General features: G+C 36.9%; 1 long non-coding RNA gene across 7 annotated transcripts in view; it reads right to left on the bottom strand.

Annotated features, from left to right (window-relative positions):
* SCHLAP1 (SWI/SNF complex antagonist associated with prostate cancer 1) overlaps nucleotides 1-22,912 on the bottom strand; it is a 224,836-nt gene that overhangs the window by 78,827 nt on the left and 123,097 nt on the right. For 4 of the 7 annotated variants that reach the window (NR_104325.1, NR_104324.1, NR_104319.1 and 1 more), the window contains one exon: nucleotides 10,606-10,872. The exons of 1 other annotated variant lie outside the window; for it this stretch is intronic. This is a non-coding gene — a long non-coding RNA (SWI/SNF complex antagonist associated with prostate cancer 1). Of the gene's footprint in view, nucleotides 1-10,605; nucleotides 10,873-14,042; nucleotides 14,181-22,912 lie in introns of all 7 variants that reach the window. 2 more of the 7 variants (NR_104322.1, NR_104323.1) reach the window with 1 other exon arrangement.

The following is a 22,912-nucleotide window of genomic DNA, read 5'->3' as shown; positions in this document are numbered from 1 at the left end:
AAATGAAGGAAAAAATGTTAAGGGCAGCCAGAGAGAAAGGTCGGGTTACCCTCAAAGGAAAGCCCATCAGACTAACAGCGGATCTCTCGGCAGAAACCCTACAAGCCAGAAGAGAGTGGGGGCCAATATTCAACATTCTTAAAGAAAAGAATTTTCAACCCAGAATTTCATATCCAGCCAAACTAAGCTTCATAAGTGAAGGAGAAATAAAATACTTTATAGACAAGCAAATGCTGAGAGATTTTGTCACCACCAGGCCTGCCCTAAAAGAGCTCCTGAAGGAAGCGCTAAACATGGAAAGGAACAACCGGTACCAGCCGCTGCAAAATCATGCCAAAATGTAAAGACCATCGAGACTAGGAAGAAACTGCATCAACTAATGAGCAAAATCACCAGCTAACATCATAATGACAGGATCAAATTCACACATAACAATATTAACTTTAAATATAAATGGACTAAATTCTGCAATTAAAAGACACAGACTGGCAAGTTGGATAAAGAGTCAAGACCCATCAGTGTGCTGTATTCAGGAAACCCATCTCACGTGCAGAGACACACATAGGCTCAAAATAAAAGGATGGAGGAAGATCTACCAAGCCAATGGAAAACAAAAAAAGGCAGGGGTTGCAATCCTAGTCTCTGATAAAACAGACTTTAAACCAACAAAGATCAAAAGAGACAAAGAAGGCCATTACATAATGGTAAAGGGATCAATTCAACAAGAGGAGCTAACTATCCTAAATATTTATGCACCCAATACAGGAGCACCCAGATTCATAAAGCAAGTCCTGAGTGACCTACAAAGAGACTTAGACTCCCACACATTAATAATGGGAGACTTTAACACCCCACTGTCAACATTAGACAGATCAACGAGACAGAAAGTCAACAAGGATACCCAGGAATTGAACTCAGCTCTGCACCAAGCAGACCTAATAGACATCTACAGAACTCTCCACCCCAAATCAACAGAATATACATTTTTTTCAGCACCACACCACACCTATTCCAAAATTGACCACATAGTTGGAAGTAAAGCTCTCCTCAGCAAATGTAAAAGAACAGAAATTATAACAAACTATCTCTCAGACCACAGTGCAATCAAACTAGAACTCAGGATTAAGAATCTCACTCAAAACCGCTCAACTACATGGAAACTGAACAACCTGCTCCTGAATGACTACTGGGTACATAACGAAATGAAGGCAGAAATAAAGATGTTCTTTGAAACCAACGAGAACAAAGACACCACATACCAGAATCTCTGGGACGCATTCAAAGCAGTGTGTAGAGGGAAATTTATAGCACTAAATGCCTACAAGAGAAAGCAGGAAAGATCCAAAATTGACACCCTAACATCACAATTAAAAGAACTAGAAAAGCAAGAGCAAACACATTCAAAAGCTAGCAGAAGGCAAGAAATAACTAAAATCAGAGCAGAACTGAAGGAAATAGAGACACAAAAAACCCTTCAAAAAATCAATGAATCCAGGAGCTGGTTTTTTGAAAGGATCAACAAAATTGATAGACCGCTAGCAAGACTAATAAAGAAAAAAAGAGAGAAGAATCAAATAGACACAATAAAAAATGATAAAGGGGATATCACCACCGATCCCACAGAAATACAAACTACCATCAGAGAATACTACAAACACCTCTACGCAAATAAACTAGAAAATCTAGAAGAAATGGATACATTCCTTGACACATACACTCTCCCAAGACTAAACCAGGAAGAAGTTGAATCTCTGAATAGACCAATAACAGGCTCTGAAATTGTGGCAATAATCAATAGTTTACCAACCAAAAAGAGTCCAGGACCAGATGGATTCACAGCCGAATTCTACCAGAGGTACAAGGAGGAACTGGTACCATTCCTTCTGAAACTATTCCAATCAATAGAAAAAGAGGGAATCCTCCCTAACTCATTTTATGAGGCCAGCATCATTCTGATACCAAAGCCGGGCAGAGACACAACCAAAAAAGAGAATTTTAGACCAATATCCTTGATGAACATTGATGCAAAAATCCTCAATAAAATACTGGCAAACCGAATCCAGCAGCACATCAAAAAGCTTATCCACCATGATCAAGTGGGCTTCATCCCTGGGATGCAAGGCTGGTTCAACATATGCAAATCAATAAATGTAATCCAGCATATAAACAGAGCCAAAGACAAAAACCACATGATTATCTCAATAGATGCAGAAAAAGCCTTTGACAAAATTCAACAACCCTTCATGCTAAAAACTCTCAATAAATTAGGTATTGATGGGACGTATTTCAAAATAATAAGAGCTGTCTATGACAAACCCACAGCCAATATCATACTGAATGGGCAAAAACTGGAAGTATTCCCTTTGAAAACTGGCACAAGACAGGGATGCCCTCTCTCACCACTCCTATTCAACATAGTGTTGGAAGTTCTGGCCAGGGCAATCAGGCAGGAGAAGGAAATAAAGGGTATTCAATTAGGAAAAGAGGAAGTCAAATTGTCCCTGTTTGCAGACGACATGATTGTTTATCTAGAAAACCCCATCGTCTCAGCCCAAAATCTCCTTAAGCTGATAAGCAACTTCAGCAAAGTCTCAGGATACAAAATCAATGTACAAAAATCACAAGCATTCTTATACACCAACAACAGACAAACAGAGAGCCAAATCATGAGTGAACTCCCATTCACAATTGCTTCAAAGAGAATAAAATACCTAGGAATCCAACTTACAAGGGATGTGAAGGACCTCTTCAAGGAGAACTACAAACCACTGCTCAAGGAAATAAAAGAGGACACAAACAAATGGAAGAACATTCCATGCTCATGGGTAGGAAGAATCAATATCGTGAAAATGGCCATACTGCCCAAGGTAATTTACAGATTCAATGCCATCCCCATCAAGCTACCAATGACTTTCTTCACAGAATTGGAAAAAACTACTTTAAAGTTCATATGGAACCAAAAAAGAGCCCCCATCACCAAGTCAATCCTAAGCCAAAAGAACAAAGCTGGAGGCATCACACTACCTGACTTCAAACTATACTACAAGGCTACAGTAACCAAAACAGCATGGTACTGGTACCAAAACAGAGATATAGATCAATGGAACAGAACAGAGCCCTCAGAAATAATGCTGCATATCTACAACTATCTGATCTTTGACAAACCTGAGAAAAACAAGCAATGGGGAAAGGATTCCCTATTTAATAAATGGTGCTGGGAAAACTGGCTAGCCATATGTAGAAAGCTGAAACTGGATCCCTTCCTTACACCTTATACAAAAATCAATTCAAGATGGATTAAAGATTTAAACGTTAGACCTAAAACCATAAAAACCCTAGAAGAAAACCTAGGCATTACCATTCAGGACATAGGCGTGGGCAAGGACTTCATGTCCAAAACACCAAAAGCAATGGCAACAAAAGCCAAAATTGACAAATGGGATCTAATTAAACTAAAGAGCTTCTGCACAGCAAAAGAAACTACCATCAGAGTGAACAGGCAACCTACAACGTGGGAGAAAATTTTCGCAACCTACTCATCTGACAAAGGGCTAATATCCAGAATCTACAATGAACTCAAACAAATTTACAAGAAAAAAACAAACAACCCCATCAAAAAGTGGGCGAAGGACATGAACAGACACTTCTCAAAAGAAGACATTTATGCAGCCAAAAAACACATGAAGAAATGCTCATCATCACTGGCCATCAGAGAAATGCAAATCAAAACCACTATGAGATATCATCTCACACCAGTTAGAATGGCAATCATTAAAAAGTCAGGAAACAACAGGTGCTGGAGAGGATGTGGAGAAATAGGAACACTTTTACACTGTTGGTGGGACTGTAAACTAGTTCAACCATTGTGGAAGTCAGTGTGGCGATTCCTCAGGGATCTAGAACTAGAAATACCATTTGACCCAGCCATCCCATTACTGGGTATATACCCAAAGGACTATAAATCATGCTGCTATAAAGACACATGCACACGTATGTTTATTGCGGCACTATTCACAATAGCAAAGACTTGGAACCAACCCAAATGTCCAACAATGATAGACTGGATTAAGAAAATGTGGCACATATACACCATGGAATACTATGCAGCCATAAAAAATGATGAGTTCATGTCCTTTGTAGGGACATGGATGAAATTGGAAACCATCATTCTCAGTAAACTATCGCAAGAACAAAAAACCAAACACCGCATATTCTCACTGATAGGTGGGAATTGAACAATGAGATCACATGGACACAGGAAGGGGAATATCACACTCTGGGGACTGTGGTGGGGTCGGGGGAGGGGGGAGGGATAGCATTGGGAGATATACCTAATGCTAGATGACACGTTAGTGGGTGCAGCGCACCAGCATGGCACATGTATACATATGTAACTAAACTGCACAATGTGCACATGTACCCTAAAACTTAGAGTATAATAAAAAAAAAAATTAAAAAAAAAAAAAAAGGATTTAAGCTATATTATACCTCAGCTAAAATCTGATAGAAAATAGACTAGCTCACACATATACATAAATAGAATGAAATGCTAGAAAGAATACATAAATTTGTTAAAAAGTTAACCAAAATAGTTATCTCTGGACCATGGCATTGCAGCAACTTTTATCATACATTTCTTCATTTTTCAAATATTCTACAATGAACTTTTAAAATCAGTAAAACACAGTGATGCCAGACATCAGTGAAGTGATGTAAAGAGATAGAGGGGCACACAGTTATAGAAAGATATTTGCAAAGAAGGGAGAGTGTTGCACATGTATGCAGGCTGAATGGAAAAAAGGGCAATGAAAAGAACCAATTGAGGATTAAAAGGACTAAAAGTTGCTGAAGGCAGGTGTTGCAGTTTGGTTGAGCTCTAGAGCACTGAGGGAAAATTAGACTTGGGTAGGAGGCACGAGAAAAATAGCCTGTGGAAGCATGTATGAAAACCGAACACCGAGGGAGTTTACACTTTGTGACCTTAATTTTCATTCTGTTTTTCTCAGGCTATATCTGTTGAGAGTGAGAAATGGTGAATTTGCAGAGAATATTGGAAGTTCTGGGTATTTGATGAAGAGAATGAGAGAGAGAGAATTGCTGAGGAAAGTCAAAGGATTAACAGGTTGCCTGAAGGCTTCTTTGATGTTAGACATCTTAAATTTGTAAATTTGGCATCATTCTCTAAAATTGCATGGGGTTTTTCATCAAGAATATGTATTTTTAGGAATAGAGGCACTGAAAGTTTGGAATGCTCTCTCTGAGAATTTGCAGAGTGGGTATAGTTAAAAGACTTTGGTTAAGAATTTGAAGGTGTTTTGGTTACTGTAGACTTGTGGTATAGTTTGAAGTCAGGTAGCATGATGCCTCCAGCTTTGTTCTTTTGGCTTAGGATTGACCTGGCAATGCGGGCTCTTTTTTGGTTCCATATGAACTTTAAAGTAGTTTTTTCCAATTCTGTGAAGAAAGTCATTGGTAGCTTGATGGGGATGCCATTGAATCTATAAATTACCTTGGGCAGTATGGCCATTTTCACGATATTGATTCTTCCTACCCATGAGCATGGAATGTTCTTCCATTTGTTTGTATCCTCTTTAATTTCATTGAGCAGTGGTTTGTAGTTCTCCTTGAAGAGGTCCTTCACGTCCCTTGTAAGGTGGATTCCTAGGTATTTTATTCTCTTTGAAGTAATTGTGAATGGGATTTCACTCATGATTTGGCTGTTTGTCTGTTATTGGTGTATAAGAATGCTTGTGATTTTTGTACATTGATTTTGTATCCTGAGACTTTGCTGAAGTTGCTTATCAGCTTAAGGAGATTTTGGGCTGAGACAATGGGGTTTTCTAGATATACAATCATGTTGTCTGCAAATAAGGACAATTTGACTTCCTCTTTTCCTAATTGAATACCCTTTATTTCCTTCTCCTGCCTAATTGCCCTGGCCAGAACTTCCAACACTATGTTGAATAGGAGTGGTGAGAGAGGGCATCCCTGTCTTGTGCCAGTTTTCAAAGGGAACGCTTCTAGTTTTTACCCATTCAGTATGATATTGGCTGTGGGTTTGTCATAGATAGCTCTTATCATTTTGAGATACATCCCATCGATACCTAATTTATCGAGAGTTTTTAGCATGAAGCGTTGTTGAATTTTGTCAAAGGCCTTTTCTGCATCTATCAAGATACTCATGTGGTTTTTGTCTTTGGTTCTGTTTATATGCTGGATTACATTTATTGATTTGCGTATATTGAACCAGCCTTGCACTGGTACCAAAACAGAGATGTAGATCAATGGTACAGAACAGAGCCCTCAGAAATAACGCTGCATGTCTACAACTATCTGATCTTTGACAAACCTGAGAAAAACAAGCAATGGGGAAAGGATTCCCTATTTAATAAATGGTGCTGGGAAAACTGGCTAGCCATATGTAGAAAGCTGAAACTGGATCCCTTCCTTACACCTTATAGAAAAATCAATTCAAGATGGATTAAAAACTTAAACGTTAGACCTAAAACCATAAAAACCCTAGAAGAAAACCTAGGCATTAACATTCAGTACATAGGCATGGGCAAGGACTTCATATCTAAAGCACCAAAAGCAATGGCAACAAAAGCCAAAATTCACAAATAGGATCTAATTAAACTAAAGAGCTTCTGCACAGCAAAAGAAACTACCATCAGAGTGAACAGGCAACCCACAAAATGGGAGAAAATTTTCGCAACCTAATCATCTGACAAAGGGCTAATATCCAGAGTCTACAATGAACTCAAACAAATTTACAAGAAAAAAACAAAGAACCCCATCAAAAAGTGGGCAAAGGACATGAACAGACACATCTCAAAAGAAGACATTTATGCAGCCAAAAAACACATGAAAAAATGCTCACCATCACTGGCCATCAGAGAAACGCAAATCAAAACCACAATGAGATATCATCTCACACCAGTTAGAATGGCAATCATTAAAAAGTCAGGAAACAACAGGTGCTGGAGAGGATGTGGAGAAATAGGAACACTTTTACACTGTTGGTGGGACTGTAAACTAGTTCAACCATTGTGGAAGTCAGTGTGGCGATTCCTCAGGGATCTAGAACTAGAAATACCATTTGACCCAGCCATCCCATTGCTGGGTATATACCTAAAGGACTATAAATCATGCTGCTATAAAGACACACGCACACGTATGTTTATTGAGGCACTATTCACAATAGCAAAGACTTGGAACCAACCCAAATGTCCAACAATGATAGACTGGATTAAGAAAATGTGGCACATATACACCATGGAATACTATGCAGCCATAAAAATGATGAGTTCATGTCCTTTGTAGGGACATGGATGAAATTGGAAATCATCATTCTCAGTAAACTATCGCAAGAACAAAAAACCAAACACTGCATATTCTCACTCATAGGTGGTAATTGAACAATGAGAACACATGGACACAGGAAGGGGAATATCACACTCTGGGGACTGTTGTGGGGTGGGGGCAGGGATAGCACTGGGAGATATACCTAATGTTAGATGACGAGTTAGTGGGTGCAGCGCACCAGCATGTCACATGTATAGATATGTAACTAACCTGCACATTGCGCACATGTACCCTAAAACTTAAAGTATAATAAAAAAAAAGAATGAAAAAATATATAGCAGGCAAATATTAAAAAAAAAAGAATTTGAAGGTGGAGAGAAACTGAATTCCGCTGGAATTTAGGCTGGGCAGAAAAGAAGTGAATTGTTGGATGTTGAGGGATAGTGGGACAGGTCTTTGGAAGTAGATTGTAGTAGTGGAGGGAAAGAGATGTAGGACTATGTTCTTTGCCTTCACCTCGCACTCATAGCCTTCGAATCCAACTTTTGGCATTCACTACACTCTGCCTTGTTTTAGTTGACTGTATTTCCCACCCCCACCCCCCAACTCTTGTAAGTGGCTGCACATTCCTGAGGCACCTACCCCAGTGTTCTGTATTTGGCAGTGATTCAATTACAGTTGTTGGAGGAGTGAAGGAAACCAAATGTGTTGATTTTTAAAATCATGGCAAGTGTTTTTGGTTAAATTTAGAACTACTCTTTTGAAGATTGTGCACTCAAAAGTATTAATTAAATTGGCAACTGTGCCTGCCAGCAACATTAATGTGATACTCTTTGGGGAGGAGCCATTTGAAGGTGTTGCTGGAACTATAGTAAGCTCAGAGTATGAATTTAACTGCACTTAAAGAAGCTCTATCTTTTGGAACTTCCAACTAAGGGTGAAAAAGCCTTGCTTCATAAGCAGGCACAGTTTGTTCTGGATCGACTGTCTGGTAGTTTCAAGGCTGATAACTTTTAATTCTTTTTGCTCAGATAGTAGCCACTCAAGAGGGTGCCAGGGAACCTTCTGCTTCTCCTAAAAGCTTGGTTTCAGAAAGTGAATTTGCTTGATATCATATCTACAGGGTGTACTCTTCTTAATCCAAAGACTCTCTAGTAAGTTTTCCATAATTAAGGTATAAACTCACAAGATGCCAAGTTCTTATTTTATCGGAGGAGAAAGGACAAGGAATATACTACTCTCTGATCATGACAATGGGTGAAGCTAAAGAGGGAGGAAGAATCCCAGTTCCTCCTTTCAGAAACCTTAACTGTGGTTCTATAAATGTGGAGGCATACATACGCCCATACACACCCATGCATTCTCGCTCACTTACTCATGCATTCACACAACCGTTTTTCCAATCTTATTCTTTTCAGTTGAATGTTCACATCCTAATCCTGGTATTTAACTTTTAGTGTTTTCAAGGCTCCTTTTTATATATTCACGAATCTAGTAGACCTCATCCCAGTGAACATTCTTAATTATAGTCAATTGCTCTAAATTGGCTTTCTTGAATTTAAATGCATTTGCCATTTCATTTTTCAAGATGAATTTGATTGAATGTCTTGTAGTGATTGATGCAAGCTCATTCAGAATATGTGAATAATAAATTTATTACTCTCTAGAAATAAGTACTAGATCACAAAATCTCTTTGGTTTAATATTTTACTGTTAAAGATTAAATAGTTCTTCTAAATAACTTAGCAACTCTCTCAAACTTAAATTGTTTAGCTCTATGTTTAAGGAAACTATGGAAATTGTTTCAGTTCCCTTGGGTGCAGTCGTGCAATTTAGATTTAGCTGGCCTGCAGATTGTACTCATCTATGTTAATGTTTCTGTAATGAGAATGATCCAACTGTGTCATAACCTTTTAGGTCTTAACCTCCTTCATTTACATAACCTTTTACTTTACATTTACACACGCTTTGCCATTTTAGGATTAATATGTCAGGCTTTTTCTGTTTTTTTCCCATGACCTTTGTTGCTAATAAAAACAATCAGTTGGTTTGCCTTATATATGGGAAAAACATGTTGTTCACAATAGATTGGTCAATATTTGAAAGAAATGTTAGATTTGATAACCAGAGAAGGGAATACATGGATTTTTGCATGACTACCATAATTGTAAGCAGAAAAACTCAATAAACTATTTTTATTCTTAAAAGTGTTGATTAAATTTGATAATATTTGAAATGTACATCATTAAATAAATGGTTTATAAGTGTATTCAGTTCCTTGCTTCAAATAGAACAAGTTATAATTTAAAATAATAAGCCGGGCACGGTGGCTCAAGCCTGTAATCCCACCACTTTGGGAGGCCGAGGCAGGTGGATCACGAGGTCAAGAGATTGAGACCATCCTGGCTAACACGGTGAAACCCTGTCTCTACTAAAAATACAAAAAAATTAGCCAGGCGTGGCGGCGGACGCCTGTAGTCCCAGCTACTCGGGAGGCTGAGGCAGGAGAATGTCGTGAACCCGGGAGGTGGAGCTTGCAGTGAGCCAAGATTGCGCCACTGCACTCCAGCCTGGGAGACAGAGCAAGACTCCATCTCAAAAAAATAAAAAATAAAAAATAAAATAATACTAGTACCTATTACCCTAAAAATGTGTTAAAAACATATACACATTGGTCTTTTACATTTAAAATTATGTCATTTATGTGCATTTTTATATATCCACATATATTTACAAGTATTGATTACAACAAAATAAAATCTTCAAAGACTTGGACTTTCTTAACTAGACATATAGTTAAGAGGTAAATATGTTTCAAAAATTTAATGGTAGAATTTATTTAAATAGAAAATATAATACATGTGAAATGATTTCATTTTAAAGTAGCCTATTTACATACAGGATATTTTTTCTATTATTAACGATTTTATTCGACTTGTGATACTCTGAAGGAGAATCACAGGGTGCACAATCTGGGTATCAGGGAGCACCCCCGAGGAAATGTCATTTGAGCTGAGTCCCAAAGGGTGAGTAGAAACTGCAAGGTAAAAGGCTTGAGTGCCTCGGGAGGCCTAATATTTTTAGAATAATCTTTGTAATATAAACCTGACCCATAAATCCCTCATACTCTCCCAAAACCTTACAATATTTTCCCAAATCTGTACCATGTCCTGCAAAAGCTGCATCATCTGGCTTCTCCCTATCCCAGCAACTTTATTTCCCACCACCCTCCCTCACTCTCACCCCCAGCCATGGCCGACTTGTTAAGTTTCACCACCTCACCATTGTCTCACTTCTTACCTTTTAACATGTTGCTCATGTTCCTTGGATGACTCTCCCTACCTCCTTTCTCCATCCCGCTCCTCATCATTGGTGAACTCCACTTATCTGCAGATATTCAGCTTCTTCAGGGAGGTGGTATCTGCATCCCCAGAGGCTGGGTCTTCATTTACAAGTGAAGCATCTGGCACTTCTTCCCCAGTCATTCCATTCTCATCATGTTTGTGATTTCTGGTGTCATGGCCATATTCCTGGAAGGTGGACCTTGTGTCCCCAGCATCTAGATTGCTGTTACATTGTAGGGATCAAGCAAATAGCTATTGAATAAATGAATGTATATAAAACTTTAAATCAGTAAATTTTAAAGATAATGCTTTTTCTTAGTCACTATAAGAATTGCAGCTACCACTTACTGAGCACAAGTGTTAATCAAGCACAGTCCAAGATGCCAAATGTGGTGGATATGAACCTCATATTATTAATGACAAAACTGAGGTTTGGAAGTCCAGCAAATTGCTCCAAGTCAGATTGTGGTTTGCTCTATTATGTTTGATAAAAGCAGTCACTAAATTGTCTCATTATAATCAGGGGAGAGAAAACACTATTTTTTGATGAAAAAGTGTTGATGTAGTTCATCTCAAATTGTAATACTTTTATGTAAATTTTATTTTAAAAATAATTTTTTATATATCATTACACTTATTCTCATTTAAATTATTCAATTCATAAGTACTGTCAGTCATGTACCATATATTAAGGAGCAAAGTAAGTGATACATATATACGGTTTTACCCGCTAGTGAGGTTACAATTTGTGTAGGGAGAGAGGCTTGGGAAAAGCATCTATGGTTTAGCTGAGGTAACCACAAAATCCTAAGGGTTATAGAGTTGTGCATACTTAACAACTATTTAACTGCTTAAGGCCATGCGTGGTGGCTCGTGCCTGTAATCCCAGCACTTTGGGAGGCCAAGGCAGGCGGATCACGAGGTCAGGAGATTGAGACCACCCTGGCTAACACGGTGAAACCCCGTCTCTACTAAAAATACAAACAATTTAGCCCGGCGTGGTGGCGTGCGCCTGTAGTCCCAGCTACTCGGGAGGCTGAGGCAGGAGAATGGCGTGAACCCGGGAGGGAGAGCTTACAGTGAGCCGAGATCATGCCACTGCACTCCAGCCTGGTGACAGAACGAGACTGCATCTCAAAAAACAAACAAACACCTGCTTAATATGGCCCACACATTTTTCAAGGCACTAGGCACACACTAGTGAATAAAATAAACAGGATCCTTTGTCTCATGAAAAATATATTCTATAATAAAGACATTAAATCCTATTGGGGAGGTCTCATTAGGCAGGACTTACTAGAGAGGGTGATGCTTTCATTGGCTCATAAAGGATGAGTAAATACTGTCATGTCCTGATGGGGAGTGTCTTAGTATATCTGATCTTAACCAAAAGGCTGAGAAACTATAACAGCATATTAATTAGGATTAGGTTCATCATGGAGTAGTAGAAAACCCCAAGTTATATTGGTCTGACAAGCTAGGAAACTGTCTCTTGCTCCCATAAAAGAAATCTAGGTATAGTTAGTCTAGCATGGGTACTGTACTCAGAGGTAGGAGCCAAGGGTGTTCCCTCCATGTTGTTTCTCCACCATATTCCATACATGGCTTCCAGCTCAGGCTCTAAGACGGCCACATTATTTCCATTCATCATATCTGCATTCCAGCCAGCAGAAAGGAAAGGGATAGTAGGGAAGAAGAGCATGCCCTCTTTATTTCCAAACATTTACCAAAAGTTGTGTACACTGATTCTGTTTATTTCTGGAAGCAACCTCAAGAGAGGTGGAGAAGTGGGGAAATGATGTGTTTTGCTAAAAACAGGATTTTATTACTGAAGATGTGGAAAATGAATATTGGGTATATATGACAGTGTCTGCTCCATTAACAAAAGCAAGGCCTGGAGGAATGACAGCAAAGGACTCAAAAAAATAACTCCACAAGTTTCATTGTGTGATGTGGTTGAAGTTTTATGTATATAGAACATTATAGAAGGAAATAACTAAACGTGGGTTCGTAAAAGCATTTAATTGCCATGCTCAGAAACATTGTCATGCAGGGATATATAATAATTTAAATATCTTTCTTATGTTGTACTTACATATTTCATAATTTACAAGGCTCTTAAAATATATTATCTCTTTTAATATTCAAAATAATCCTGTGGAATAGTAAATATTATCCTTGTTTGGTACATTAAATAATCAAGGTCCAGATATCTGACTCAAGGCCAGTGTCCTTTCCATTGTATCTGAAATAGTTAATATATTCATAGAAATTTAAAGAGGATATTAGTATTTTTTTATTAATCTTAATCCAAGAACAGGAAAGTAATGCAAAGAAAACTATTACACAATAAAAGAGAGCTTCTACAGATTAAAATGTAACCATTGAGATAAAAGATAATAATCTCCCAGAAAGTAGACCCAAATGAGAAAGTAATGGAAATGTTAGCAAGGAAATGAGGCATAGGGTTCAAATATGGAATGTTCAACTTTTGGTTAGTAAGAGTCTTAGAAAGAGAACAAAAAATAGTGCGTGCTTGGGGTTAGGATGGGGTGGTGGCGATGGAAGAGGAAGTATTATTAAAGATACGGATATAAGGAAATTATTTAAAACTGAAAAGGACATGAGTCTTCAGATTAAAAGGATCTGGATCCACTAGGTGTCTGAGACTGCAAAAAGATCCCCACAAAGGCATATTCTTGTAACATTTTACAGATCACCAAGGAGAAAAGACACTAAAAACTTCTATAAAAATATTTTTCAAATTTATGAGACAAAATGTTTTATGCTCAGACCATCAACCATATATGATGATTGTTTGAAGACATTTTTAATCATGCAAAATTCAAAATATTTATTCTTCATCAATTTTTCTTTGTGACTAACAGGATATATTAAAGTAAAACAGAAGAGTGCACAAAGGTTATATGGAATTTTGGAAACAGTGTGTCTAACTGGTAAAGAAGTCAAAGAAATCCCATAATTATAGTTTGCATAGTCCTCGATTGAAGGAAATAAATAAGTTTATCTATGGGGTTGGGGGAAAGGTGTGGGGGAAGGAACTCTATGGACAATATGATTAAGAATGAGGAAGAATATGAGTATGATAAAGTTACAAATTCAAGGAACCAAGAAATATAATTAGAAATGTCAGTAAAAAATATGAAGCAAAATAAGAAGTGACACAATTGGAAGTAATTGTTGAATGTTAAAAAATCAACTTGGAATTGATGTTAGAACCAATATTTGTATCAATTATATAAATACACACACAATTGTAGAAGTTATTTAGTTTCCATGAGACATCTGGCATCTGATGTTGGAGAAGTCTGCAGATAGACAATGGCGAAGGGAAGACGTGTAAAATAGCGGTATAAGCATGCTGGAACTCACCAGTGTGAGCTGAAATCTGCTAGGACAGACTGTCAGTGTGCCAGTCTCACCACCTCCCACTTTGATGATGTGTGTGTGCTGCAGAATAAGCTGTCACCTTTTGTCATGGAGCTAAGCACACACCTGGCGTAGAAGAAACTGAAAGAAGAAGAAACAGAAAGACCTAGGGGAAGATGGAGCAGCTGCAGGCTGGGCTTCTGCTCCTACCCAACAATGTGAGCTGCTAAATAAGAAAATATGTGAGAGCTAAAACCTCCTGTTGCCTCTTCCTTGATCTTCTGAGCATACAAACAATATAACCACTTTTTCATTTCTGCCTTCAAAATCTGACACAGAATGTCTCTTGTGGCCCAATCTAATATGAATCATATAGGGAGAGGAATTCCAGAACACATAGGTCAGCCTAGCTGGTAGCATAACGCACTAACACATTACAAAGCCATCACAATCTCTTTTGAGTGACCCTAGGGGTTGTATTTGGTCCACAGAAAAAAGTAATGCAATCTTAATATAGTACTTGGTCCAACTTTAAAGAATATTTACACAATAAGGATAATGTAAATGCTGTTTCTGGGTCATTATATTTAGAGTCAATCTGTGAAAAAGCACAGAAACCCGGGTGGTGATTGCATGAAGGTAAATGTTAACAACCTTGGAAATATAAAAGGAAAAAGTAGGTGGTAGATGGTGGGATGTGGAAAGGACTCTGGTGTGGAAGAAAAGTTGAAGGAAGAGTAAGGAGCCAAATAGCTTAAGTTTTTCTTCTTTTTAATTTTTTTCTTGCCAAAAAAATTCTACCATATCTTAATTTTTAAAGTGTAGAGTTAAGGGATCCTACCTAAAATTCACAGAACAAGAAATAGAGGTTAAAGATATCATTTAAAGTGACAAACATAAGCAATAGGAGAATTTAAGGTAACGACCTAATTATAAACATTAAGAGAAGAAAGTAAAGGTGGAAAAAAGAATAAACATGATAAATCTGTTAAATCAATAATCTAAGGTATATAGAAGTATATTATTCAGAGTTATTAAAACAGAATGGTTAAGAGGTTGTTTGGGGGAATAGATGTGAGTTAGAGAACAAAGTAGAGGGATACTGTTGCTTTTCATCGTAAGATTTTTGTAATATTTGATTAATGCATTATTAGAGTTCTCCTGAGAGACATAAAGAGAGGATATAGATAGATTTTATGTATATAGACGTAAGAGGGAACTTGTTACGAGAACTGGCTCACATGATTATGGAGGCTGAGAAGTCCCATGAGATACCATTCACAAGTTTGAGAGCTAGAAAACCTGGTGCACTGGGCCCTGCTCCGATGTCCAAGGGCAGAAAAAGATGGATGTGACAACTCAAGAAGAGAGAGATAATTTGCCCTTCCTTTGGCTTTTTGTTCCATTTGAACTCTCAACTGATTGCATGATTCCAGCCCACACTGGTGAGTCCACTGATTAAAAGGCTAATCTTTTTTTTCTGAAAAGCATATAGATGCACCCAGAAATATTGTTTTACAAACTATCTGGGCATCCCATAACTCAATCAAGTTGACACATCAAGTTATCCATCACAACTATTTAGAATAAGCATACATTACTTTGTATGCAATAATTTTTTTAGAGGAGAGAAAATAGAAGAGGTCAGAGGATAGAGGGTCTTCCTTGGTCAAATTCTTCATTAAAGGGACAAATGTGAGAACCAAGAAAAGAAGGTGAAGTGCATTTAGACCTTTAAGATGAATATTATATAATAGCTATTAATTTTTTAACAAATTTAAATAATAGAAACATTATCTGCACTGTAACTTCAGAAATGATGCTGGTCACTGCTCTACAATGGTGGTAGAAATAGCTGTCAAACCACTCCTTTCTTCACTAGGAAAGAATAAATGAATTTGATAAAAACCTGTGGTAAAATCCATTGATTATGATTTTATAAATATGAAACCCTAATACATTTTATTACATTACTGTGTGAATATAATAAACTATATTAATATTTAAAATATTATCATTGTAATAAAATAATGAAATATAATAAATAATATAATAAAAGTATATAATATTATGTGAAACTAGAAAAATTTAGCCATAAAACCAGAAACTAGAATGAGAAAAAATTAATGTCTAAATATTCGCATGCTTGGGATTTTGCAAAATAAACCAAATTTTAAAAAGAAAAATTTTTGTCATTATAATGTAATAATGTTTTATCATATTCACAATAGATATTAAATATTCTTCTGAATAGACTATTAATACTTAAAACAAATTATATGGATATTATTTGGTTTAATATTTAGAATTATAGTTTTACCTTCCCATTTGTAATTCCTTATAATTATGTTCAAGAGCATTGGTCATCATTTTGCAGATTCTAACTGTTCTAATTATTTTGTCCAATTATTAGTTACTATATATTTTCTGGACTAATTATATTACTAAAATACAGAAGAACTGGGTAAATTTTATTCACATTGATACTAGTATATTTTAAACCTTGCCTATTTCCTATCTTTACATATTTTCCTTTGATTAAACATCTCTGAATTATTCTCAAGTGCACCACTATTAATTTCAACAAGTTAGTTTAAATCATTTATTCTGCTGAAATGCTATATTACATAACTAATTTTGCAAATCTGGTAGTGATTTAAACTAATTTGTCTTCCAGAAACTATGGTAGAATAATTATGCTTTGATCTTGTAAATTAGCCAAATGGAGTATTGTTTATAATATAATTTAAATGAAAACTGCCATTACATTAAATAGTGTTTCTTGTCTCATTGCTTAATTGACCTCAGTTTGTGTGTTGTTCATAGGTAAACAGTGCAACTGGATCCACTGGAGTTAACAGAGAAACACCTTTTTCCTCACAATGTTTTCATTGCCTAGGAAATAATAAAATCAAATCAACCTATTTTTAACACAAATTTCAAGGTTTAATTTAAGACTTTATAAGGTAGAGTTTTAAGATGTATCTTTATGGTGATGATGATGATGATTTCAGTGAAAAGTAAACATGTTAACACTGCCTCTTATTTTGGGATCTGTCTGAGCAGCCTCATGGCTCTCGGATTTTATCAGTATCAGTGACCATCAGACTCATATATGTTAACTAGCCATGAACCTTGGTTCCAATCCTGGGCCCTTTTATTCCCTGGAACTCTTCCATCCTTAAAACTATCAACTCTAATATTCCATCCTCTGACCAACTTCATATTCATTTAAATCTTTTCACTTCTTTATTTCTGCTTAAACAAGGCCTTCACTTCATCAAGACCTTGGCGTTCTTAACCTTTTTATTTTCCTTAAACCAATTTATTCAATAAAATTACAATTTATTGTACACTTAGATTGCCCAAGTGCTTTACATGAGTTGTCTGATTTAAGCCATTTGATGTGAAGTAGGAATTATTATCCCATTTCACATCTATGGAAATTGAAGCATAGAGAGGTTAAATAAATTGTTCAAGGGAAGTGGAGGACATAATTTAAATTCAGGTCTAGTTTCTTCATAGCGTATGCTATATAGCTCTTATGCTTTTATTACTTTCCATATTCAATCTTGCCCATATCTCATTTCAACCACTTTCTCTTTCTCTGTCTTTTCTTTTTGCCACTGCTCTAAATTCCTTTATTATACAGTTTTGACAGCCACTGACATTTAAAAAGCATCCAATTCCATTACCTAAGCCATCCACCTTCTCTGTTCCTCAACCTGAGTTGCCAAGCACTGCTGGAAGAATGGCATGTTCATGAGTATTGATGCCATATCCATTCATTGTGTCTAGTTCCTGCTGATCTCCAACACTGCCTAGCTATGTGTCCTTTATCAGCTCCCTTCTCAATTCTAAACTGAATTTTCTCAAACTTCCTGCTGCACCATTACCTACTAAATCAGCTAACCCAAAGGATTGGATTGTCAATTCAACTCACATAAATGAGAGACCTTCTTGTATTAATTTCAAGAATAAAAGCGATCAAGAAGTACAGATGAAGTATGGAGAGGTCTGAGACATCTGCATGGCTCTCAAAGTTCATTATTCCTGCGTTAGACATGCACAGTGCGTGGTTCAGAGTAATGGATAAGGTCTACAAAGAAGTACTCATGGGTTATTACTTTACATAGCAGGGAACATTTAGGTTACACCATATCTCCATTTTATACCTCAAATTAGTCACCTAACTTGCATGACATTTTCCAGAGTGCCATGCCCCATAAATTCATAGAACCTAGATTTGTTTGTCATAAGCAAACCTAAATGAGGAACATCCTCCTAAGAGAATTCCATAAATAAGAGCGTTCCTTCTAGTAAATATCATCAGTCTATTTACAAGTTCAGCTATCAACATGTCTAAAAGAATCATCAGAACTCTTTTCTTCTCCAAAAGGTTCCTCTGACCTATCTACAAACACACACAAACCATCTGCTTTAAACTCCTTCCTCCAACTCATTTTTAGCCAAGATCCCTACTTTCATTTTATAAAAAAAATTAAAGCATCTCAGATAAGAAAGTCCAACTTCCTTTTTCCAGTAATACACATTGTTAGACATTCACTCTACCCTCTTTCCTTTAGCCTGAGTGGAAAACTATATTTTGTTCAAAGTTGATCTCTGTTTCAATGATCTGTTTCTCCTTGCTTTTTCTCTCTTCAGAGACTCTGGATATTTTATTAACCAACTGCAACTTTACCTAATTGCATTCTTAATCAGTGAAAACTTCTTAGTAATAGTTTATCTATTACTTCTTCAATGCTGGCTGTGTGACAGGCATTTTTCTAATATTAACTCATTTACTATCATAACAACGGAATGAAGTAAATGCTGTTAGTATTGCCGACTTATATATGGGGTCTATGAGTATCAGAGAGGTTAAGTAACTTTCTTTTCCCTTCTCTTCTCTTCTCTTCTTTTCTTTCTTTTTTGAGAAGGAGTTTTGCTCTTGTTGCCCAGGCTGGAGTACAACGGCGCGATCTCAGCTCACAGCAACCTCTGCCTCCTGGGTTCAAGCGATTCTCCCACCTCAGCCTCCCGCATAGCTGGGATTACAGGCATGTGCCACAATGCCTGGCTAATTTTTTTGTAGAGACGGTGTTTCTCCATGTTGGTCAGGCTGGTCTCGAACTCCCAACTTCAGGTGATCTGCCCGCCTCAGCCTCCCAAAGTTCTGGGATTAACAAGTGTGAGCCACCGCGCCCGGCCTGAGGTTAAGTAACTTTTTCAAAATCATACAGCTAGTAAGTGATGACTCTAGGATTTGAACAAAGCTGTCTATGCTGTGCTGGAAGTACATTTCCTAATGCCTATTTTAAAATTATTATTATGAATACATTTTAGATTTATAGAAAAGGTGCAAAAACAGATCAAAGAAGGTGTTTGTAATTCTAATCCATGCTTCCTCTAACGTTAACATCTTACCTTATCACAGTACAATTATAAAGAACAGGAAAGTAACTTTGGCACTATATTAACTAAATTACAGACTTTTTTTTTTTTTTTTAAATGGAGACGGAGTTTCACTCTGTCACCCAGGCTGGAGTGCAGTAGTGCGATCTCCGCTCACTGCAACCTCCGCCTCCTGGTTCAAGCAATTCTCCCACCTCAGCCTCCTGAGTAGCTGGGACTACAGGTGCATGCCACCATACCCAGCTAATTTTTTATGTTTCAGTAGAGACGGGGTTTCACCATGTGGCCCAGGCTGGTCTCGAACTCCTGAGCTCAGGAAATCTGTCCACATCGGCCTCCCAAAGTGCTAGGAGTACAGGCATGAGCCACTGTGCCTGGCCAAATTACCGACTTTTAATTTTATTTTTATTATTTATTTTAAAATTTTTATTATTTTAATTAATGAATTTTTAAATGCACTAGTTTTTAATATCCTTTTTCTGATCTAGGACCCATCCTGAAGTTGGACGTGTTTTTTCTTCAGTTGCCTCCAGCCTTGAATATTTGCTCGATCTTACGTTATATTTTATGTCCTTAATGAATATTAACTTTTCGTCACTCTAATGAGAAAAAAAGTTTTCCCAGTTAAAGAGTGAGAAAATTATTTGGTATCAATGAAATGTTTTTCCTTATCAACATACATTTCCTAATTATTAGACCCATGATTATTATATAGTTCTGAGTTGACATGCTTTCTGCATAAAACTTTTGGTTTCAATGACTCATTATATAGCTATATGATTTGCATGCAATCACATGTATTCTATCATGACTATAATTTTCCTTCTAATTTATATTTTCTGTTATTTAATCTGCACTTTCCTTTTCAGTTTTTAGTGATACCAAATTCCAGTTTAGCAGTGTATTTTTTATGAGCACTTAATCTTCTAGTTTCCACTGTTTTTATTGTGAAGTTGGTCCTTGGTGTGAGTGTTACTCTTTTGAAAGCCCTCTCTTTTTTCTCTGTTAGGCTCTAAGATCTTGTCTTTGGACTGTGACAGAATTCTTCTACTGGTCCTACTTATGGTTTTCTTGTTTGTTAGCCTCCTTGAAAGCATGGCATGTCATTGTCATTTTGAAAACCTTAAATACTTGCTCTGAAACTCTCCTCCTTCCTTCTACCATCCCAATAACACACGTGTCAGATTTAATTCTTCTATACTTTGTGCTTGTTTTTGCTTTTCTCTATTTTCTATTATTTTCTTCTCATACTTTAGAGTATTGTCTTATATTCCCATTCACTAACTTTTTCTTTAGCTATGTCTAATCTCTTCTTAAATCACATCTATTCAGTTATTTGCTTCAGTTATTTTACTATTTATTTATTACTTTGGTACAAAGCATAACAAAATTTTCAATCTTCACCATTTTAAAATGCAATTCAGTAATGTTCAGTATATTCACATTCTTGGGAAAGAGATCTGCAGAACTTTTTATCTTACAAAACTGGAGGTCTATGCATATTAAAGAACTCTTTTTCCCTCTCCCTGCATCCTTTGGTAACCACCACTCTACTTCCTATTTCTGTGAATTTGACTACTTTAGATACTCCATATAAGTGGTATCATACAGTATTTGTCTTTTTGTGACTGGCTTAATTACCTTAGCATAATGTTCTCAAGATTGTAGAATTTAAGGGATTTTCTTCCTTTTCAAGACTGAATAATATTCCGTCATATTTGTATATCACATTTTGCTTATCTGTTCATGTTGATGAACATTTGGGTTACTTCTACCTCTTGACTATTGTTAACAGTGCTGCTATGAACATGGGTGCACAAATGCCTATTTCAGACCCTCCTTTCTCTAGTGTCTATTTGAATTAACATTTCTAATGTCTATCTATGACATTAAAAAGAAAGCACAACACATGTTTTCTCCTTATCAGGATACTTTTAGTACCTAAAGTTCTTATCAAACAAATTAAATAATCTTAATTTTTAAAAAAATTGTTTCATGTGTCCAGTAAAGAAAATTCATTGACAGTAAAAATCATGACATATTTTTCTACTTCATGTGACAACAAGCACAATTTCAAACACATAGTGAATAACACAAGGGCAACTAATTTTGTGGGCTGTTAAGGGTTGAATTGCATCTCCCTTCAAAAATCATATGTTAAATTCCTAACTTCTAGTAGTTCATAATGTGACCTCATTTAGAAATAGGGTCATTATAGATATAGTTAGATAAGATGAGGTCATATTGAAGCAGGATGGACCTCTAATCCATTTTGACTGGCAATCCTAGAAGAAGGGAACATTTGGAGACAGACATAAGGAGAATTTCATGTGAAGCGCTGAAGGTAGAGATTGGAGTGATGCTTCTACATGTCAAGGAATGCTGAGGATTGCTACCTAACTATCGGAAGCTAGGGGAAAGGCATGGAACAGATTCACTCTCACAGCTTTTAAGGAACCAACCGTACTGACAACTTGGTCTTGGATTTATAATGTCCAGAACTGTGAGACAATATATTTCTGTTGTTAAAGTCACCCAGTTTGTGGTACTTAGTTATGGTAGACCTAGCAAGCTAATACAGGGCTATAGTCCCTTTAGAGGCAACATGATTGACCCATAAAATTGTATATAAAATTGTGTTTGTGAGTGTATCTGTCGGTACACATTCTTTTCTCCTTTGCACAATTTCACAATTTCCCTCTCTAAGAACCTGTATTTCATGACTAGTAGGAGGAGTATAATAAAGAGAGATGGAAGAAGTGAACCTTCAATGTGACATTTACTCCTGTTTTAACTTTGATTTCTCATGGTATTTTTAGTTCATGAGTGTTTAGCATTTTATGGCAGAAAGAGCTTGCACCTGTGATTTTCCAGATCTATCTGATCTTTAGTCAGCATCTGGAGTCCAAGGTAATCTCTTGGATCTTCCCTCATAGTAAGAATTAAAAATGAGATTGAAGACTGGGCCCAGTGGTTCACACCTGTAATCTCAGCACTTTGGGAGGCCAAGGGGGGAGGATTGCTTGAGGCCAGGAGTTTGAGATCAGCCTGGGCAACATAGTAAAACCCTGTGTCTACAAAAATTTTTTTAAAAAAATTAGTCAGGCATAGTGGCACACACCAGTAGTACCAGCTACTTAGGAGGCTGAGTTAGAAGGATCACTTGAGCTCAGGAATTCAAGACTGCAGTGAGCTATGATTGTACCACTGCACTTTTGCCTGGATTACAGAGTGAGAGCCTGTCCAAAGAAAGAACCTGTCATGAATATGTCAATGCTGAATGCAAATCAGGGAAAGATGAAGGTAAAGTCACTCTGAGACAAAGGGAGAGCAGGTTACCACGTGGAAGCTGCTCTGCTTACTAGAGTTGGGAATTCAGTATGTTAGAGAGCTCTGTATCAGTTTCCTAGGACTGCCATATTAAATCATCACTCTCACAGCTCTGGAGCTCCAAAGTC

This window comes from Homo sapiens, chromosome 2 (assembly GCF_000001405.40).
Source record: "Homo sapiens chromosome 2, GRCh38.p14 Primary Assembly".
NCBI classification, from domain to species: Eukaryota; Metazoa; Chordata; class Mammalia; order Primates; family Hominidae; genus Homo; species Homo sapiens.
The sequence above is the reverse complement of the archived record's forward strand: the minus strand, read 5'-3'. Positions and strand labels throughout refer to the sequence as shown.